General features: G+C 36.9%; 1 long non-coding RNA gene across 1 annotated transcript; it reads right to left on the bottom strand.

Annotated features, from left to right (window-relative positions):
- Positions 1 to 2,475: 2,475 nt before the first annotated feature.
- LOC124901159 (uncharacterized) lies at positions 2,476 to 14,137 on the bottom strand. Its single transcript, XR_007059097.1, has 2 exons — positions 14,021 to 14,137; positions 2,476 to 2,896 (listed from the first exon to the last, which is right to left on the bottom strand). It is a non-coding gene; the product is annotated as an uncharacterized LOC124901159 (long non-coding RNA).
- Between the last annotated feature and the right edge of the window lie 1,242 nt (positions 14,138 to 15,379).

The raw sequence follows: 15,379 nt of genomic DNA, 5'->3' as shown, positions 1-15,379 counted from the left end.
TACATTATCTTGAAACTTTCTGATTAAGGATTTCCTTCCTAAATATAGCAGATTCTTCCTATATCACAGCACTTTCAAAGAATCTCATCAGTATAACTCATATGCCATCTAAATATCATAAGCAAAAGTTATTCCTCACTAATAAATAAGAGAGAAACAACCTTCAAGTCTCATTGATGTAATTCAAGATAAGTGAGGTTTATTTTGTGCTCATTTAACGGTTCTGTGTATTTTTACTGAAAGTGATTTTCTGCACAGCAACTCAAGAACTCAACTGATCCCTTCAATCTTGTAATTACAACATCCTTTGCATTTGGCTTGTAAGCAAAAGAGAGAGAGAGAGATGGAGATTGAAATAGAAATAAGGAGAGAACAAGATAGAGAGATAATTAAAGAGTGAGAGGGAGAGAAAAATAGAGTTTAGTATGGGGCTTTTTTGAATAGGCTGGAAGTGTTATACCTAATTCCCTTCCACATTAAGGTGGCCAAAATGCAAACACATAACCACATGTAAGGGAAGATGGAAACTATAATCTAGATATAGTTTCAGGAAGAAGGATAAATGATTTTTCTGAATTAGTAGCCAGAATAATAGCTATTCTCTGACAAACCCGGACAAGTGTTTCTCCCAAACTTCAATGACTTCAGTCTCTCTCTCTAAATAGCATCTTCCATTTCTTTCTTTTTGCAAGAAAAATGTCTGATAATTTCAAAATAGAGCACTCCAAATATTTCTGCAAAAATCCATGCTATTAAGTCACTTTTGAAATCTTAATATTTTAGTTTTGGTCAGAGATCTCTGACGGAAAGATTCTAGAGTCGCATCAGAGTTTCTAGGGCAACAATTCTGACAATTTGTCTTTGGGGATGACCCTGCAGTTTGAGATGCAGCATGAGTCATATCATAATGCCTTTCTATAGAACTTCAAAAGAGAAAATTATGTTTAAGTGATAATGAGGACAATAAGTAAGATTGGAGAAACTGAAGACGTAGAAAGAACTGAGATGGAAGAGAATTCCAAGAAGACAAGAGTCAATGGAACTCACTGTATAGTTTGAGGCATTTTTTCAAGTAGGAGATGAGTGAAACAAACTGATGCAAGTACAAACAATTTTGCTGAAATTCTGATAAAAATTTTAGTGAGTTTCTATTTAATGAAATGTGGTTTACTGCTAACTGAGGAGTGCTAGAAATGGAAAATTTGAGGAAAATAATTAAGTTTGAAACAGCTGACTAGAATTTCTCAAATTATATTTCAAGGAGTATCCATCTTGCAAGTTGCATTAAGAAAAAAATATTCTGTGGTTAAATTTAGGAAGCATTATCTGCATATTCAATAAAAATTCTCAGAATAGCATCTTACAGCACCTGATTTTGGTGCTGTAAACTGTCACATAACCAATTGTTTAACCTAGTGATTCATTTAAAACATTTAAAACTATAACTTTCTTTGGCCATATTTAAATGCCATTGAATTTAGCATTTCATATAAGCCACATAAGAGAGCATAGGCTTTATCACATATTTCTCAAGTGTTAGCGATTGTTATGACATTCTCAGAATAAAAAGATTGATTATGTCCACTCAGTTTGTTCTCTCTCTAGACATATAACCATCAAACACAATTATCTCAAGTCTTAAAACTTAAAGCTGAACGGCATGTGTATGATTGTGAACTGACTTTCGGTTCTGCTGTGAAACCATGTTAGCAGGAAAAAATATATACCTATAGGTTATGGCAAGGACAAGCTTATTTTCCAACACCTAAGAGATGTATGCTTACTTCTGACCACCAAAAGCCATAGTCATATTTTTTGTAGATATGATTGGAAAACATTTACTCTTTTCCCATGTGGTGAGTTTATCAGAGGCTCATGGTGAAATGATTACACATTACATTTCAGAGTGGAAGATAATGGGGACCAAAGGTAGGAGCCTTTGGTTCACAGAATTTAAAGTTCACAGAATTTTATGACTATTTATTTAAGTAAATGTTCCAAATGGATAATTTAAGAAATTAAAGGATTTCTTCAAGTCCAACTGAAAGAAAATTTTCCCCTAAAGTGTGCATTAGTTCTACATAAGGTCAACTTAATAGCATAATTTCCAACCTCATCTAAATTCAACTTTTTTTATATAAACTCAGCAACTATTCAATTACCCCAGAAAGGGAATAGTGGGAATTTGTAATATTTAATTTGATATCATCTTAAATTATTATTTCCTTCTTCTAATTCTTAGAACCATGTAATATATCAATTAGCACTGTAAAAATTATTGAGTTTCAAATACTTGGATCAAGTTTACAATAAAACTCAACATTTATTGTTCCAGGTGCCAGCCTGACATTATGTGTAAATAAAATAACTGTTTAAAAATAACTTAAATTTTACAGATGAAATAAGGAAAATACATATTAATCTCTCTAATCAATAATCCCAGGGCCAAAAATATGCTCCAAACTGAAAACAAAGTTGTTATTTCTCTTTAAGTGTTTATTCTATGGCAACAAAGACAGTAACAACATTTAAGGTGATCATCTAAGCTTACTTCAACGCTATCAACATATACTCCCTTCTTAAGTCAAATTTATATTTACATTTATATTTATTATCATATGAAATATTATGTTATACATTTTGTGTATAAATATTACATATATATGTACACATACATATTTTCAAAGCATCATGATAACATGCTAAATGTGTAGTCATCCAATTTTGTCTCAAGATATTTACTAGGGAGCTTGTAAAATGGTATATTTAAAGATGGCTTTTTAGAAATGTCTGTCTTCTTTTTGATCCATCTTCATTCAAATTGTTCTTCTGTTTCTTTATTGACTTCAGCCACTTCCTGTGTGCTTTGAAAGGGGTCTCTCTGCAATGCCTCCCTCTGAAACAAACCAATGTGTAAGAATTACTAATTCTATTAAAACTTTGTTGTACTCACTGAGAAAATTTATATAAGTTCTCTATATCCTTTGCTCTCTTTTCCCCCACATTTTTTTTTTCTTTTCTGCTCTTTGAAGATTCTATTTCTGCCATGTCAGTCTCTCTTTTCTTCTACTTCCACCTCACTTCTTGTATTACTAACATCAATGCAAAATAGACTCTCCATTGTGTAGCATGATCTCTTTTTAACTTTACTTTTGGGTCATCATTATTTTACCCCTTTTTGCACCGTAGGAACATTACATATTTGTTCCAGGATTCTATATTTGAATTTAAAAATGTTCTTTGACAAAATACAAGAAGGATAACCACAACCTCAGCAAAAAAAAAAAAAAAAAAAAAAGTTCCTCCTCTGCCTATGAAGCTCCTGGTTATCTCACTCTGAAGTCCCAATTAAAGCCCCTGGCAAGGTCAAATAAGCCATTAGAGTAGGGGTAAGTAGGAACTGGAAAAATAACACGTTTGCTTCTAACTTTTTATGGTCTACCACATATAAATTTAATTGGTTGGTACAGCAGAATTTTAGGTTTGAAATGGCATATGGCTCTACCCATCAGAATTCAATAACGCTCTTTTCTGTTTTTAGGTAAATGTAGTCATAAGCATTAAACAAAAGGCTCTAGTACTGCATATATGCTAATACAATTAAGGAGGCAGAATTATTCTTGGAAAAATGTGGTTAAAGACTTTTGTGCTTTGTAACACTTGAAGAAGCAAGGGAACAGAGGCAGTTTTAAAAGTTCCTGGAGACATTTTTAGGAATATAAGAATTTAATAGATTTATTTGTTTAGCTGATATCCTTGCCTTGTTGGTGCTTAGACAAGTATTTAGTTTACCTGATGATTAAATCTGCAGAGTCTAGAATAAAGAGCATCTGGAATTCCTCTGTTAAGTATAGTTTAAAACTATGCCCTCCAATCATAGCACTTGTTTTTCTATGTAGAAATTAAATGATGTTGTTCTCTGTAGTCAATTATATCTTGTCTTTTTCATTCATTTTGTATACCTATTACTTGATGTGATGCCAAACACATGATAAGCTCATATAATTATTTATTTATATCAGAAAATATTGAATAAAATAGAACCTTGAGATTTTACAGAAGAATGTAAAGAAATTGCAATAGTTCACTAGGGGAAAAACAATAATTAGCCATTTTTTTTTCCTATACAAACTGCTATAGATGGAATGCTTATATCCCCGCACGATTCATATATTAAAGCCTGATCTCCAATGTAATGGAACTTGAAGTTGGAGATGGGATCTTTGAGAGGTAATTATGTCATTAAAGTTTAGCCCTCATAATCGAATAAGGGCCCATAATGGAATAAGGAAAGAAAGGAAAGAACCTGCATGTCCTATGTTCTCTCTCTCTCTTTCACACACACACACATACACACAGAGAGTGAGAGAGAGAGAAAGACAGAGAGAGAGCAAGAGAGATCTAGTTTACATATTTGCCCTTCTTAGTTTCATGTTGGAATTTGAGCCCACCAATGTTGGAGGAGGGGCATAGTGGGAAGTGTTTGGATTACAGCAACAGATTTCTTAGGACTCGCTTCCTGCCCTCCCCATGGTAATAAGGGAGTTCTCCCTCTATTTGTTTACATAAGATCTGATTGTTAAAAAGAGCTTGGCACTTTCTCCCCCTCTGTTGATCCCTCATTTACCATCTGACACACCTGCTCCCTGTTTGCCTTCTTCCATGATTGTAAGCTCCCTGAGGCCTCATCAGAAACAGATGTGGGCAACATGCTTCTTGTACAGTTGTCAGAATCATAAGCAAAATAAACTTGTTTTCTTTGTAAATTATCCCATCTCAGGTGTTTCTTTATAGCAATGCAAACCAGACTAATACAAATACAAGCAGTTGGTACCAGGAGTGGGGTGCCTAAAATTGTGGAAGTTGCTATGGACCTAGCTAATGGACAGAGGTTGGAGAAGTTTGGATGGCTCAGAAGAAAGCAGAAAGATAAAGGAAAGTTGTAACTTCTTAGAGAATGGTTAAGTAATTGTAACAAAAATGCTGATATATATATTCATAATGAAGTCCAGGATGGTGAAGTCTCAGATAGAAATAAGGAATTTTTTTTTTTTTTTTGGAAATAGAGTAAAGGTCACCCTGTTACACCTTAGTAAAGAACTTGGCTGTATTATGTACATACTTGATGACTTCTTGGAAGACTGAACTTAACAGTGATGACTTGGAGTATCTAGTGGAAGAAAATTCTAAGCAGCAAAGTGATAAAAAATGGTCTGGCAGTCTATGAACAGATATGGGAGCAAAAAATGACTTAAAATTGAAACTTGTAATTGAAAGAAAAGCAAAGCATAAAAATTTGGAAAATTTACAGGCTGGCCATGTGGTTGAGAAGGAAAGAGCATTTTCAGGAGAAGAATCCAAACAGCCTATGGAGCCACTACTTTCTAAAGAGATTAGCTTAACTAAAAGGCAGCCAAGTGCTAATATTCAAGACAATGAGAAAAAGGACTCAAAGTTATTTTAGGAATATTTGAGGCCATCCCTCTCATCAGAGGCCCAGAGGCCTAAAAGAACAGACTGGCTTCAGGTGCCAGGCCTGGGGTGCCACTGCCCTGTGTTGCCTCAGAACACTGCTTCCCGCATCCCACCCACCACTCTGCCTCCACCCTTAGCTCAAAGGGCCCTAGGTATAACTCAGGTCACTGTTTTGGAGGGCATAAGTCTTGACAGTTTCCATGTAGTATAGATCCTGCAGGCACACAGAATGCAAGAATAAAGGAGGCTTTGCAGCTCTCAGCTAGATTTCAGAGGATGTATGGGAAAGCCTGGGTGCTTAGGCAGGGGAGCCCCCACAGAGATACTCTGCTATATCAATGCCAAGGGGAAATGTGGAGTTGGAGCCCTCATACAAAGTCCCCAGCAGGGCATTGCCTAGTGGAGCTATGGGAAGGGGACCACCTACCTCCAGACCCCAGAATAGTAGAAACACCATCAGTGTGCTCCTTCAGCCTGAAAAAGCCATAGGCATTCAAACCCAAACCATGAGAGCAGTCACATGAGCTATACTCAGCAAAGCCATAACAATGGGGCTGCCCAATTCTTTGGAAGCCTACTCGTTACACCAGCATGTGGGGCATGCAGTCAAGGGAGATTATTTTGGAGCTTTAATATGTAATGTCTGCCCTGCTGAGTTTTAGACTTGCATGGGGTCTGTTGTCCCTTTCTTTAGGCCAATTTCTACCTTTTGAAAATGTAATTTCTCTTTTTTCATCATCATTATTTTATTTTCCTTTTTTGATATATATTTTTATTACAATAGTTTTGAAGGTCAAGTGGACTTTGGTAACATGGATGAATTGTATAGTGGTAAAGTCTGAGATTTTAGTGCACCTGTCACCCAAGTAGTATATGTGGTACCCAATATGTAGTTTTTTTTTTTCCCTAATCCCCCACAATCCTCCCTACTTCTGAGTTTCCAATGTACATTATGCCACTTTGTATGTATGCCGTTGCCTACCCATAGCTTGTAGGTGAAAACATATAGTATTCAGTTTTATTCCTGAGTTATTTCACTTAGAATTATGGCCTCCAAATCCATCCCTTGCTGCAAAAGACATTATTTCATTATTTTTTATGACTGAGTAGTATGGAATGGGAATTTCTACACAATGCTTTTACTGCCATTGAATCTTAGATGTTAAAAGCATGCCTGCTCCGCCTTTGCTTTCTGCCATGATTATATACTTCCTGAGGCTTCACCAGCAGGAGATGCTGGCACCATATTTCTTGTACAGTTGTCAGAACCATAAGCAAAATAAATCTATTTTCTTTATACACAGCCCAGGCTCAGGTATTTTTATAGCTATGCAAAGTGGAGTGACACACACACACACACACACACACACACACACACAGAGCCATGATGTGAGGACAACGCAAGATAATGGCCAGCTGCAAATCAGAAGATTGCCTTCACCAGACAGCAGATCTACCAGCACTTTTGTCTTGGAATTCCCAGCAACCAGAACTCGTGAGAAAAAAAAAATATATTGTTTAAACTATCTAGTTTATGGTATTCTGTTATGCCTTCCAAAATGACTAAAACACAAACACATCCTAACTATATTCTGGAGTCAGTTTAACGTTTGCATTCTTCTAAACACACTTGGATGATATGATGTGACATGTTTATAAAGAACCAAACTTGGTGTCACAGACACGGATGGCTGCAGTGGAAACGGTGAGTAGCAGTAAAAAAAAAAAAAAAAAAAAAAAAAAAAAGAGGGATAAATTTTAGTGGAACAAACAATGGTATTTTCAATGTGTATTGAATATGAGATATGATGAAGTTTCAAAGATGATTCCTTAGATTTGTTCTGAGCAAGTGAAATAATAGAAATGTCTTTTCACTGAGGTTGGTGTACTGCAGAAGGTTTAGTTTTGATAGGGGTTTACAAACAGTTTTTTTGTTCACATTAGGTTTGAAGTGTAATTGAGAAAGTACTTTTCTGGAGTTAAGGAGTAAGATCTATACTTGAGACATAAATTTGAATCTCATCAATATATAAATTATTTTAAAATTCAAGAGACTTAATCAGATAATTATTTTTGTCAAACGCTACTGATGCTTGAGACAGACGAGGAGGTCTTACGCTTTCCATTGGATTTGTCATCTGGAACCCATTAGTAATTCTGACACGAGTTGTGTCAATGGAGTAGTGGGAATTTAATCACTACTGAAGTGTGCGCAAAGGACAAAGAGAGAAGGAAACCAGCACTTATTAAAATTATTTCTTCTATGTGAGGAGCTAATGAAGTTTATACTAATTGGTAGGAGTTTGGAATCTAAAAAGAGTTCTTGAAGGTGGGAAATACTAAAACCAGTGTTTATGTTGATGCAAATGACTCAATAGAAAACGGACTGGTAGGGCAAATAGACTGGACAGTCATCTGGGCACAGTGGCTCATGCCTGTAATTCCAGCAATTTGGGAGGCCGAGGTGGCCAGATCACAAGGTCAGGATTTCGAGACCAGCCTGGAGAAAATGATGAAACCCCCGTCTCTACTAAAAATACAAAACTTATCTGGGCATGGTAGCTCATGCCTGTAATCTCAGCTACTCAGAAGGCTGAGGCAGGAGAATCCCTTGAATCTGTGAGGCAGAGGTTGCAGTGAGCCGAGATCATGCCATTGCACTGCAGCCTGGGTGACAGGGTGAGACTCCGTCAAAAAAAAAAAAAAAAAAAAAACGGAAGGAAGGAAGGAAGAAAGGGAGGGAGGGAGTCCAGAATTTATTCCTTCCGGTGGGTTCTTGGGCTCGCTGACTTCAACAATGAAGCTGCGGACCCTCACAGTGAGTGTTACAGTTCTTAAAGATGGTGTGTCCAGAGTTTGTTCCTTCAGATATTCAGATGTGTGCGGAGTTTCTTCCTTCTGGTGGGTTCTTGGTCTCGCTGTCTTTACGAGTGAAGCCGTAACCTTCGCAGTGAGTGTTACAGTTCATAAAGGTAGCGGAGACCCAAAGAGTGAGCAGCAGTAAGATTTATTGTGAAGAGCGAAAGAATAAAGCTTCCACAGCATGGAAGGGGACCCCAGCAGGTTGTCGAGGCTGGCTCGGGTGGCCAGCTTTTATTCCCTTATTTGGCCCCACCCATGTCCTGCTGATTGGTCCATTTGACAGAGTGCTGATTGGTCCATTTTACAGAATGCTGACTGGTCCGTTTTTACAGAGTGCTGATCGGTGCATTGACAAACCTTTAGCTAGACACAGAGCGCTGATTGGTGTGTTTACAGTCCTTTAGCTAGACAGAAAAGTTCTCCAAGTCCCCATCCGTCCCAGAAGCCCAGCCAGCTTCATAGGAAGGGAGGAAGGAAGGAAGTCAGGAAGGATGGAAGGGAGGAAGGGAGAAGACAGGACAGTTCATGAAGTGATGGTGGAAAAGGGAAGGGATACAGCGTACCAGTGGATATTTTTGCCTTAAATAAGAAAGCAAACAGTGTATTCATTGTGGTGGAAAGGAAGACAAAGAACATGGATTCAGTGAGATTTAATAGACTTGATGGTAGAAATTTTCCTCTCATTCTTTCCATTTTCTTAGTGAAGAAAGCTATTTTGGAATAAGGCAGTAAAAGAAAGTTGTAGGTGATTTAGAAAAGAGGAGAAGATGTGACATAGGTCTCTAAGAAAATGCATCTCTGCCATCAACTGTACTTAATCTTAATCCTATCTGAAGAAAGAACACTTTCCTTTTTACTCTTTCAAGACTTTAAGCTTCACCTCCAAGTAAAATTGACCACCCTTTCCTCTGGGTTATTACTTGACCCTGAATCCTGTGTTCCTCCCATAACACTTTCTAGCACTTCAAATTTATAGTCTCACTCTGAGTGACTGTAAGTGACTCAAAGGTAAGAACTTTTGTCTTATTATTCGTGGTATGCCTGGTGCTTATCATATAATCTCTTTCTACATGTTAAATTGAAAGAACAAACGATACCATATATAATGATGAAGCCTTAGTTAAGAGATAACATTTGAAGCCTTTTTCATAAGGTTCACATATAAGGTGATTCCCACAGCACGATAACTAAGAAACATCCCAAATTACACTACTGATAGTTTCAGAAATCTAGAATATAAGCAACAATGTCTTCAACAATCCATCGAGAGTAATTAAAATACATTTTAGTGCTTTTGATACCAGTGTCTTCACTACTCAGGCAAATCAGTCAAATGTACTTGTCTTGGGTGATGAACTCTATTTTGGCATATATTTGAATCCATATATAAAGAAAAATTGCTATTCAGATAATGCTATTTGTTGCAATTAGACTGTAGTTCAAATTTCAGTATGTCCGTAAGTAGTAAATTGAAGATCAGCACTAATTTCAGAATAAAGAAGGTTTTACTTATTTGCATAAAAGTCATATTTGTGAGTGGATTTTAGGATGTGATTGCATTAAATTAGCTTTAGATGAACATGATTTTAATGACAGTTCTACATTGTCAGACAAAGTTACTTCTTACAAAACAGTTACCTCTAGTCAGAACAGCTTCCATATATAACTCTTTCATTTAAAATACTCTTGGCCGGGCACAGTGGCTCACGCCTGTAATCTCAGCACTTTGGGAGGCCAAGGCGGGCAAATCACAAGATCAGGAGATCGAGACCATTCTGGCTAACACGGTGAAACCCCGTCTCTACTAAAAATACAAAAAATTAGCCGGGCACGGTGGCAGGCGCCTGTAGTCCCAGCTACTCGGGAGGCTGAGGCAGGAGAATGGCATGAACCTGGGAGGCGGAGCTTGCAGTGAGCTGAGATGGCGCCACTGCACTCCAGCCTGGGCGACAGAGCGAGACTCCGTCTCAAAAAAAAAAAAAAAAAAAAAAATTACTCAGCTCCAGATCTATAACAAAGATGGCTACTTGAATCACTCCTGGCAGACTATAGGGTAGATTAGCCCAAATAAAACCAAATGAACTTATGATATTTCCACCCTCATAAGTGGTTATTTTCTGGCATTGCCTGTCCCAGTGAATAACAACTGATTCCACCCAATTATACAAGCAGGAAACCATGCTATCACATCCCTGCAGTCTTCATGATCCAATCCCTCATCACGTCCTGTCAATTATTTTTCTCTTAAATTTTGTTTAAAATCGTCTATTTTCGCAAGCAAGACTACATTTTCACTCTAAGATCTAGACACATAATTAACTTTGGCCCCCTTCAAACCGTTTTATTTATTCTGCATTCAGCAATATTTTTACGAAGTTCAGCTCCTATTTATGTTACTCTGTATGTTTAAAAATAAAATTAAAAACACAAATCAATGTATTCCCATTTCTTTTTTTTTTACATTTTTGGGGAAATTATTTAATATTTTTATTGTCTTGATTAATATAAAATAAGAGATCTAGAGTCCCATTTCCCTTAAGCTAATCAACAGAACATAGAAGGTCTGCCCTCATAGGCCTCTCCAGCTTTGCCTTACAATGCCCTTCCCATTCTCTCCAGACATCAGTTATTCTGTCCTTTTACCGCAAACGTGACATTTCCGTCCAAAATTACTTTCATTATCTCCATATCCTGGGACATTATTCACTTTGCCTCCTCACACATCCTTCTACTTTGTTAAATTGTAATCTTCTAATATTAAGTTAAATTTCACATTTTCCGGGGAGATTTCCTTGACCTGTTTGAAAGGATAAAGTCCTCCTCTTGCACCCTTTCAAGGCTACATCATGTACTGTTTCATCAGAGCTATGACATTTTTATATGTACTTGCATGTTTTTGTGATTATTTGATTGGTTAATGTCTATTTCATTAGAATGAAGCTTTGGGTTGTTAACAATCTTGTGTGGTTTTGTTCACCATCATTCCACCAATGTGCATAGAACCTAGCACATAAAATGTCTTCATTAAACACTTGTTGAAAGAATGACTAAGCAAAAGCACATGGAAATACGAATGTATTGGCTGCAATACTAATGTGTTGACTTGATAGACTATATTATAATTTCCCAAAGACATGGCTATTATAAATGTATGGAAGCATTCTGGTTTTAAACTAACTAAAGCATATTTTCTTTTGCTGTCTTTCTTTATATTTTTACATCCAAAGTGCCAGAGGCAACACTGGAACTAATTGTTCAGAATTGCACAACTAAAGGAGCATTCTGGATTTTTTTTATCTTTAAACAGATTGCAGCTGCTCATATAAGAAAATACATGCTATGTAAACAAAATGAAATAAATTAAAATCAAATACATTTATGTGGATGATATATCTACTTATAGAATAGAGGAAGCATTTATATTTTGAATAATTATTCATAAATCATTATTCATGTGTACACATGGACATAGAGAATGAAAAATTAGATAGTGAATACTTGGAAAGGTAAGGGTATGAGAGGGCAGTAGAAAATGAGAAATCACTTAATGGGTACAATGTACATTATTTGAGTGATGGATACACTAAAACCCCGGTCTTCACCACTATAGAATATAACTATCTAAAAAAATTGCACTTGTACCCTTTAAATTTTTACAAATAAAATATCATTATTCAAAGTCTTTGGTTTTCATGGTATAATTTGAAATAAGACTCTTTTACAATTGTAAGCAATTTCTTATATGTAATCATTTTCTGGATGGTCTTAAAATAAGAAAATATATTGTGTGATATTTAATGAGGGCTTTTCATTGAGGGCTTATTTAATGAAACATTATTTACTATAATGTTTAAATTCTATATACTCTTAATCAATATGAGTTTCACACATAATATTAATAGAAAGGAATATAAAGAAAGTATTTTCTATGATCAAATTTTTCTTAAAACTAGGCTGGGGCACAGTGGCTCACACCTGTAATCCCAGCACTTTGGGAGGCTGAAGTGGGTGAATCACCTGAGGTCAGGAGTTTGAGAACAGCCTGGCCAACATGGTGAAACCCTGTCTCTACTAAAAATACAATAAATAAGCTGGACATGGTGGTGTGTGCCTGTAATCCCAACTACTCAGGAGGCTGAAGCAGGAAAATCACTTGAACCTGGAGGTGGAGTTTGCAGTGAGTAGAGATCGCACCACTGCACTCCAGCCTGGGCGTCAGAGTGAGACTCCATCTCATAAATAAATAAATAAATAAATAAATAAATGTTGTGTAAAGTATATTTCATTCCTAATAATGCCGATGAGTTCTTCCATTTATGTTCTACATTTGTTACCAGTTAAGTAAGATAGCCCCTGACAAAGAACAAGGATAATTCTATTTCCCTGGAGTCTCTGCCAGTCAGTAGCTAAATGGCCCTGGGCAATGCACATTGGCATCCTGAATCTTGGTTTTCTCCTATTTAAAATGAATGTGCTACTTTTGATTATATCTAAGGGAAGCTTCAAGCCATGATTCTCTGCTTTGATTTTCTAATTCAAATAGAAACAGTATTAATGCAGTCTATATTTTTATCCTTGGAGTTTTCTTAACAGGGAAATTAGAGTAGCTTAAAGAAAATCACAAAAGTGTAAGTAAAAAGGATAAGTAGACCTGGGCATTATTTCCCAATTTGAACAATTTTGTTGCTGAGAGATTGTTTCCATGGTATGCATTCTGTCAAAATCTCTCAGAAAAGATGTCTGTATTACCATTATCTGCTTTGACAATATCAGCTGTTAACAATCTTACACTTTCTTTTCAAAACAAAGACTGAAGCAAGGACAAAGCATGAAATGGTGTAACCTCATTACTGTGCCAAAATTTAATTCGAATTCATTATGATTTAGAAACTATAATTTGTGCTGTCTCAAGATGAGACAGTCACTCAGGGATACTGCATTATTATCTTCCTTAGAAACTATTTAAAAAATTCTCTGCAGGGAAGTGAAGACCAGCAAAAATCAAAACCGTGTCTATTTCAAACTAGAGCATGTTTCATCTTTCTATGCATTTGATCAATTTAGAAATTAACTTCTACATCTGCAAGTAAGATAAAATCACGTTTATATTCATATATATGTGTATATATATACACACACACACACACACATTTACAAGCAGGAAGATAAATATTCAGACACATATGTGCCAGAAAGTCAGAGCACACATCATGGAATAAAATTATCCTCTAACATACATTTTTCCTGCTAATAATGAATCACGGATACTCATTCAGAAAAATCAATTGTAGGGGATCGGTCAGAGTGGTGGGAAAAACTATAGGGAAAGGATGCAAACCTTCTGAATGGTCAGAAGGTTCTGCAGAGCCCCAGGGTAGAATAGCTGTAGGTGGTTGTTCTACAACCCTGAGGCAGAGGGCAAGGGGTAGGTACAAAACAGTGTGGAGGAATTTATCTTAAACAGGCTTGTTTACTTATCTTGACCCGGAACTGACTTTTGGTCATCAGCACGCATGACATTCCCTGAAAGGGAACAATAAAGGTTAATTACCTACAGGTTGTGTTGGCTCCAGGTTTTTGGCACTGTGCCTGCACTGAATGAAAGCAAGCCGCTCCAGCTTCTCAGGGCTGCTCTCTGGCCACTAGAGCGGGGCAGTCACCTAGCTGCTCTTACGCTGCATACCTGTGTCTTTGAGTACTCATTTCATCCATCAGCCAAGGTCTGTGGGACAGACCCCGCGGGTGGTGCGCAGTGTGAGGAACTCTGCTGCGGATCGCGAGGGAATCCTAGTAAACGAAAGTGAAGTGACTGTGCAGTAAGTAATTTGTGCCTGCAGGGGATTTCCAAGTTCTAGGGGATTTTAAAGTTAGGATTTCATCATGGGAAAACAGTTATCAGCTCAACAGCAACAGTATATATAGAAATATTGTAACAGCTGCCTTTAGCTATTCTCCCCCGGGGCTCTGAAGAACCTTCCGACCTTGCAGAAGGTTTGCGTCCTTTCCTATACTTTTTCCCACCACTCTGACTGATCCCCCACAATCGATGAAGATTTTAACTTCTCTTTTGACTAGCTAATGGTTCTTTACCTAACAGTTTTAGAGGTTTTGTGTTTGTATGTTTTTAATGTACACTCTTGGAGCACTTTGAATTAGGTAATGTTGTACTCAATGTATTTCTGTGTATTACGTCTATAGCTGCCCCGTGAACAACACATGTTTGAACTGCGAGGGCCCACTCATAAGTGGATTTTCTTCTGCCTCTGCCACCTCTAAGACAGCAAGACCAACCCCTCTTCTCCCTCCTCCTCCTCAGCCTACTTAGAATGAAAAGGATGAGGATTAAGACCTTTATGGTGATCCAATTCCACTCATTGAATAGTAAATATATTTTCTGTTATGATAGTCTTATGATAACCTCTTTTAGGTATTATTTTTTAATTTTTTAGACTTGCTCTTGATCTGCTAGCTTCTGCACTTATTCCCTTGGCTTTTATATCTTGATGCTCACATTTAGTTTTTTGCACATCTCCTGTTTCTTCTAATTTACCAATTCTGTGGCCCTTGCTCTGGTTTATGTTTACTTTGTTTTCTCACTGTACTCATAGCTTTACCTGATCTTTGATTTTGACATTTTCTTAGAGTCTTGGGTGGGAATTTCCCTACTTAAATTCTGGCATATCATAAGGCAGTGGCTAGCCAAAGCCCCAGATTTCACAAGAAGGTAATTAATGTGACATTTTGCCTCAAATAAATGATTCTGGCTGATGCAGTTACTCAATAGGTTGCAGTAAATGAAGACTTTCCTGCTGTCCATTCTCACTCCCTGTACCTAGTACAAAAACCCAGATGCAAATGCTGTATTAATCATGACTTGGCTCAAAATTCAGTTGACAGAACTACACTTCCAACCAGCACAGCCTAGAATCCAATATAAAATTTCAATAAAGTTTCTCTTCAAATTCATTCGTAGGCTTACATATATGCAATAAAGGGTAGAAGAATCGAGAAAACTCTTCTGCAAAGGTAGTAAAGAAATAAA

This window comes from Homo sapiens, chromosome 5, assembly GCF_000001405.40.
Source record: "Homo sapiens chromosome 5, GRCh38.p14 Primary Assembly".
Classification (NCBI taxonomy): domain Eukaryota; kingdom Metazoa; phylum Chordata; class Mammalia; order Primates; family Hominidae; genus Homo; species Homo sapiens.
This window is presented reverse-complemented; position numbering and strand designations above follow the sequence as displayed.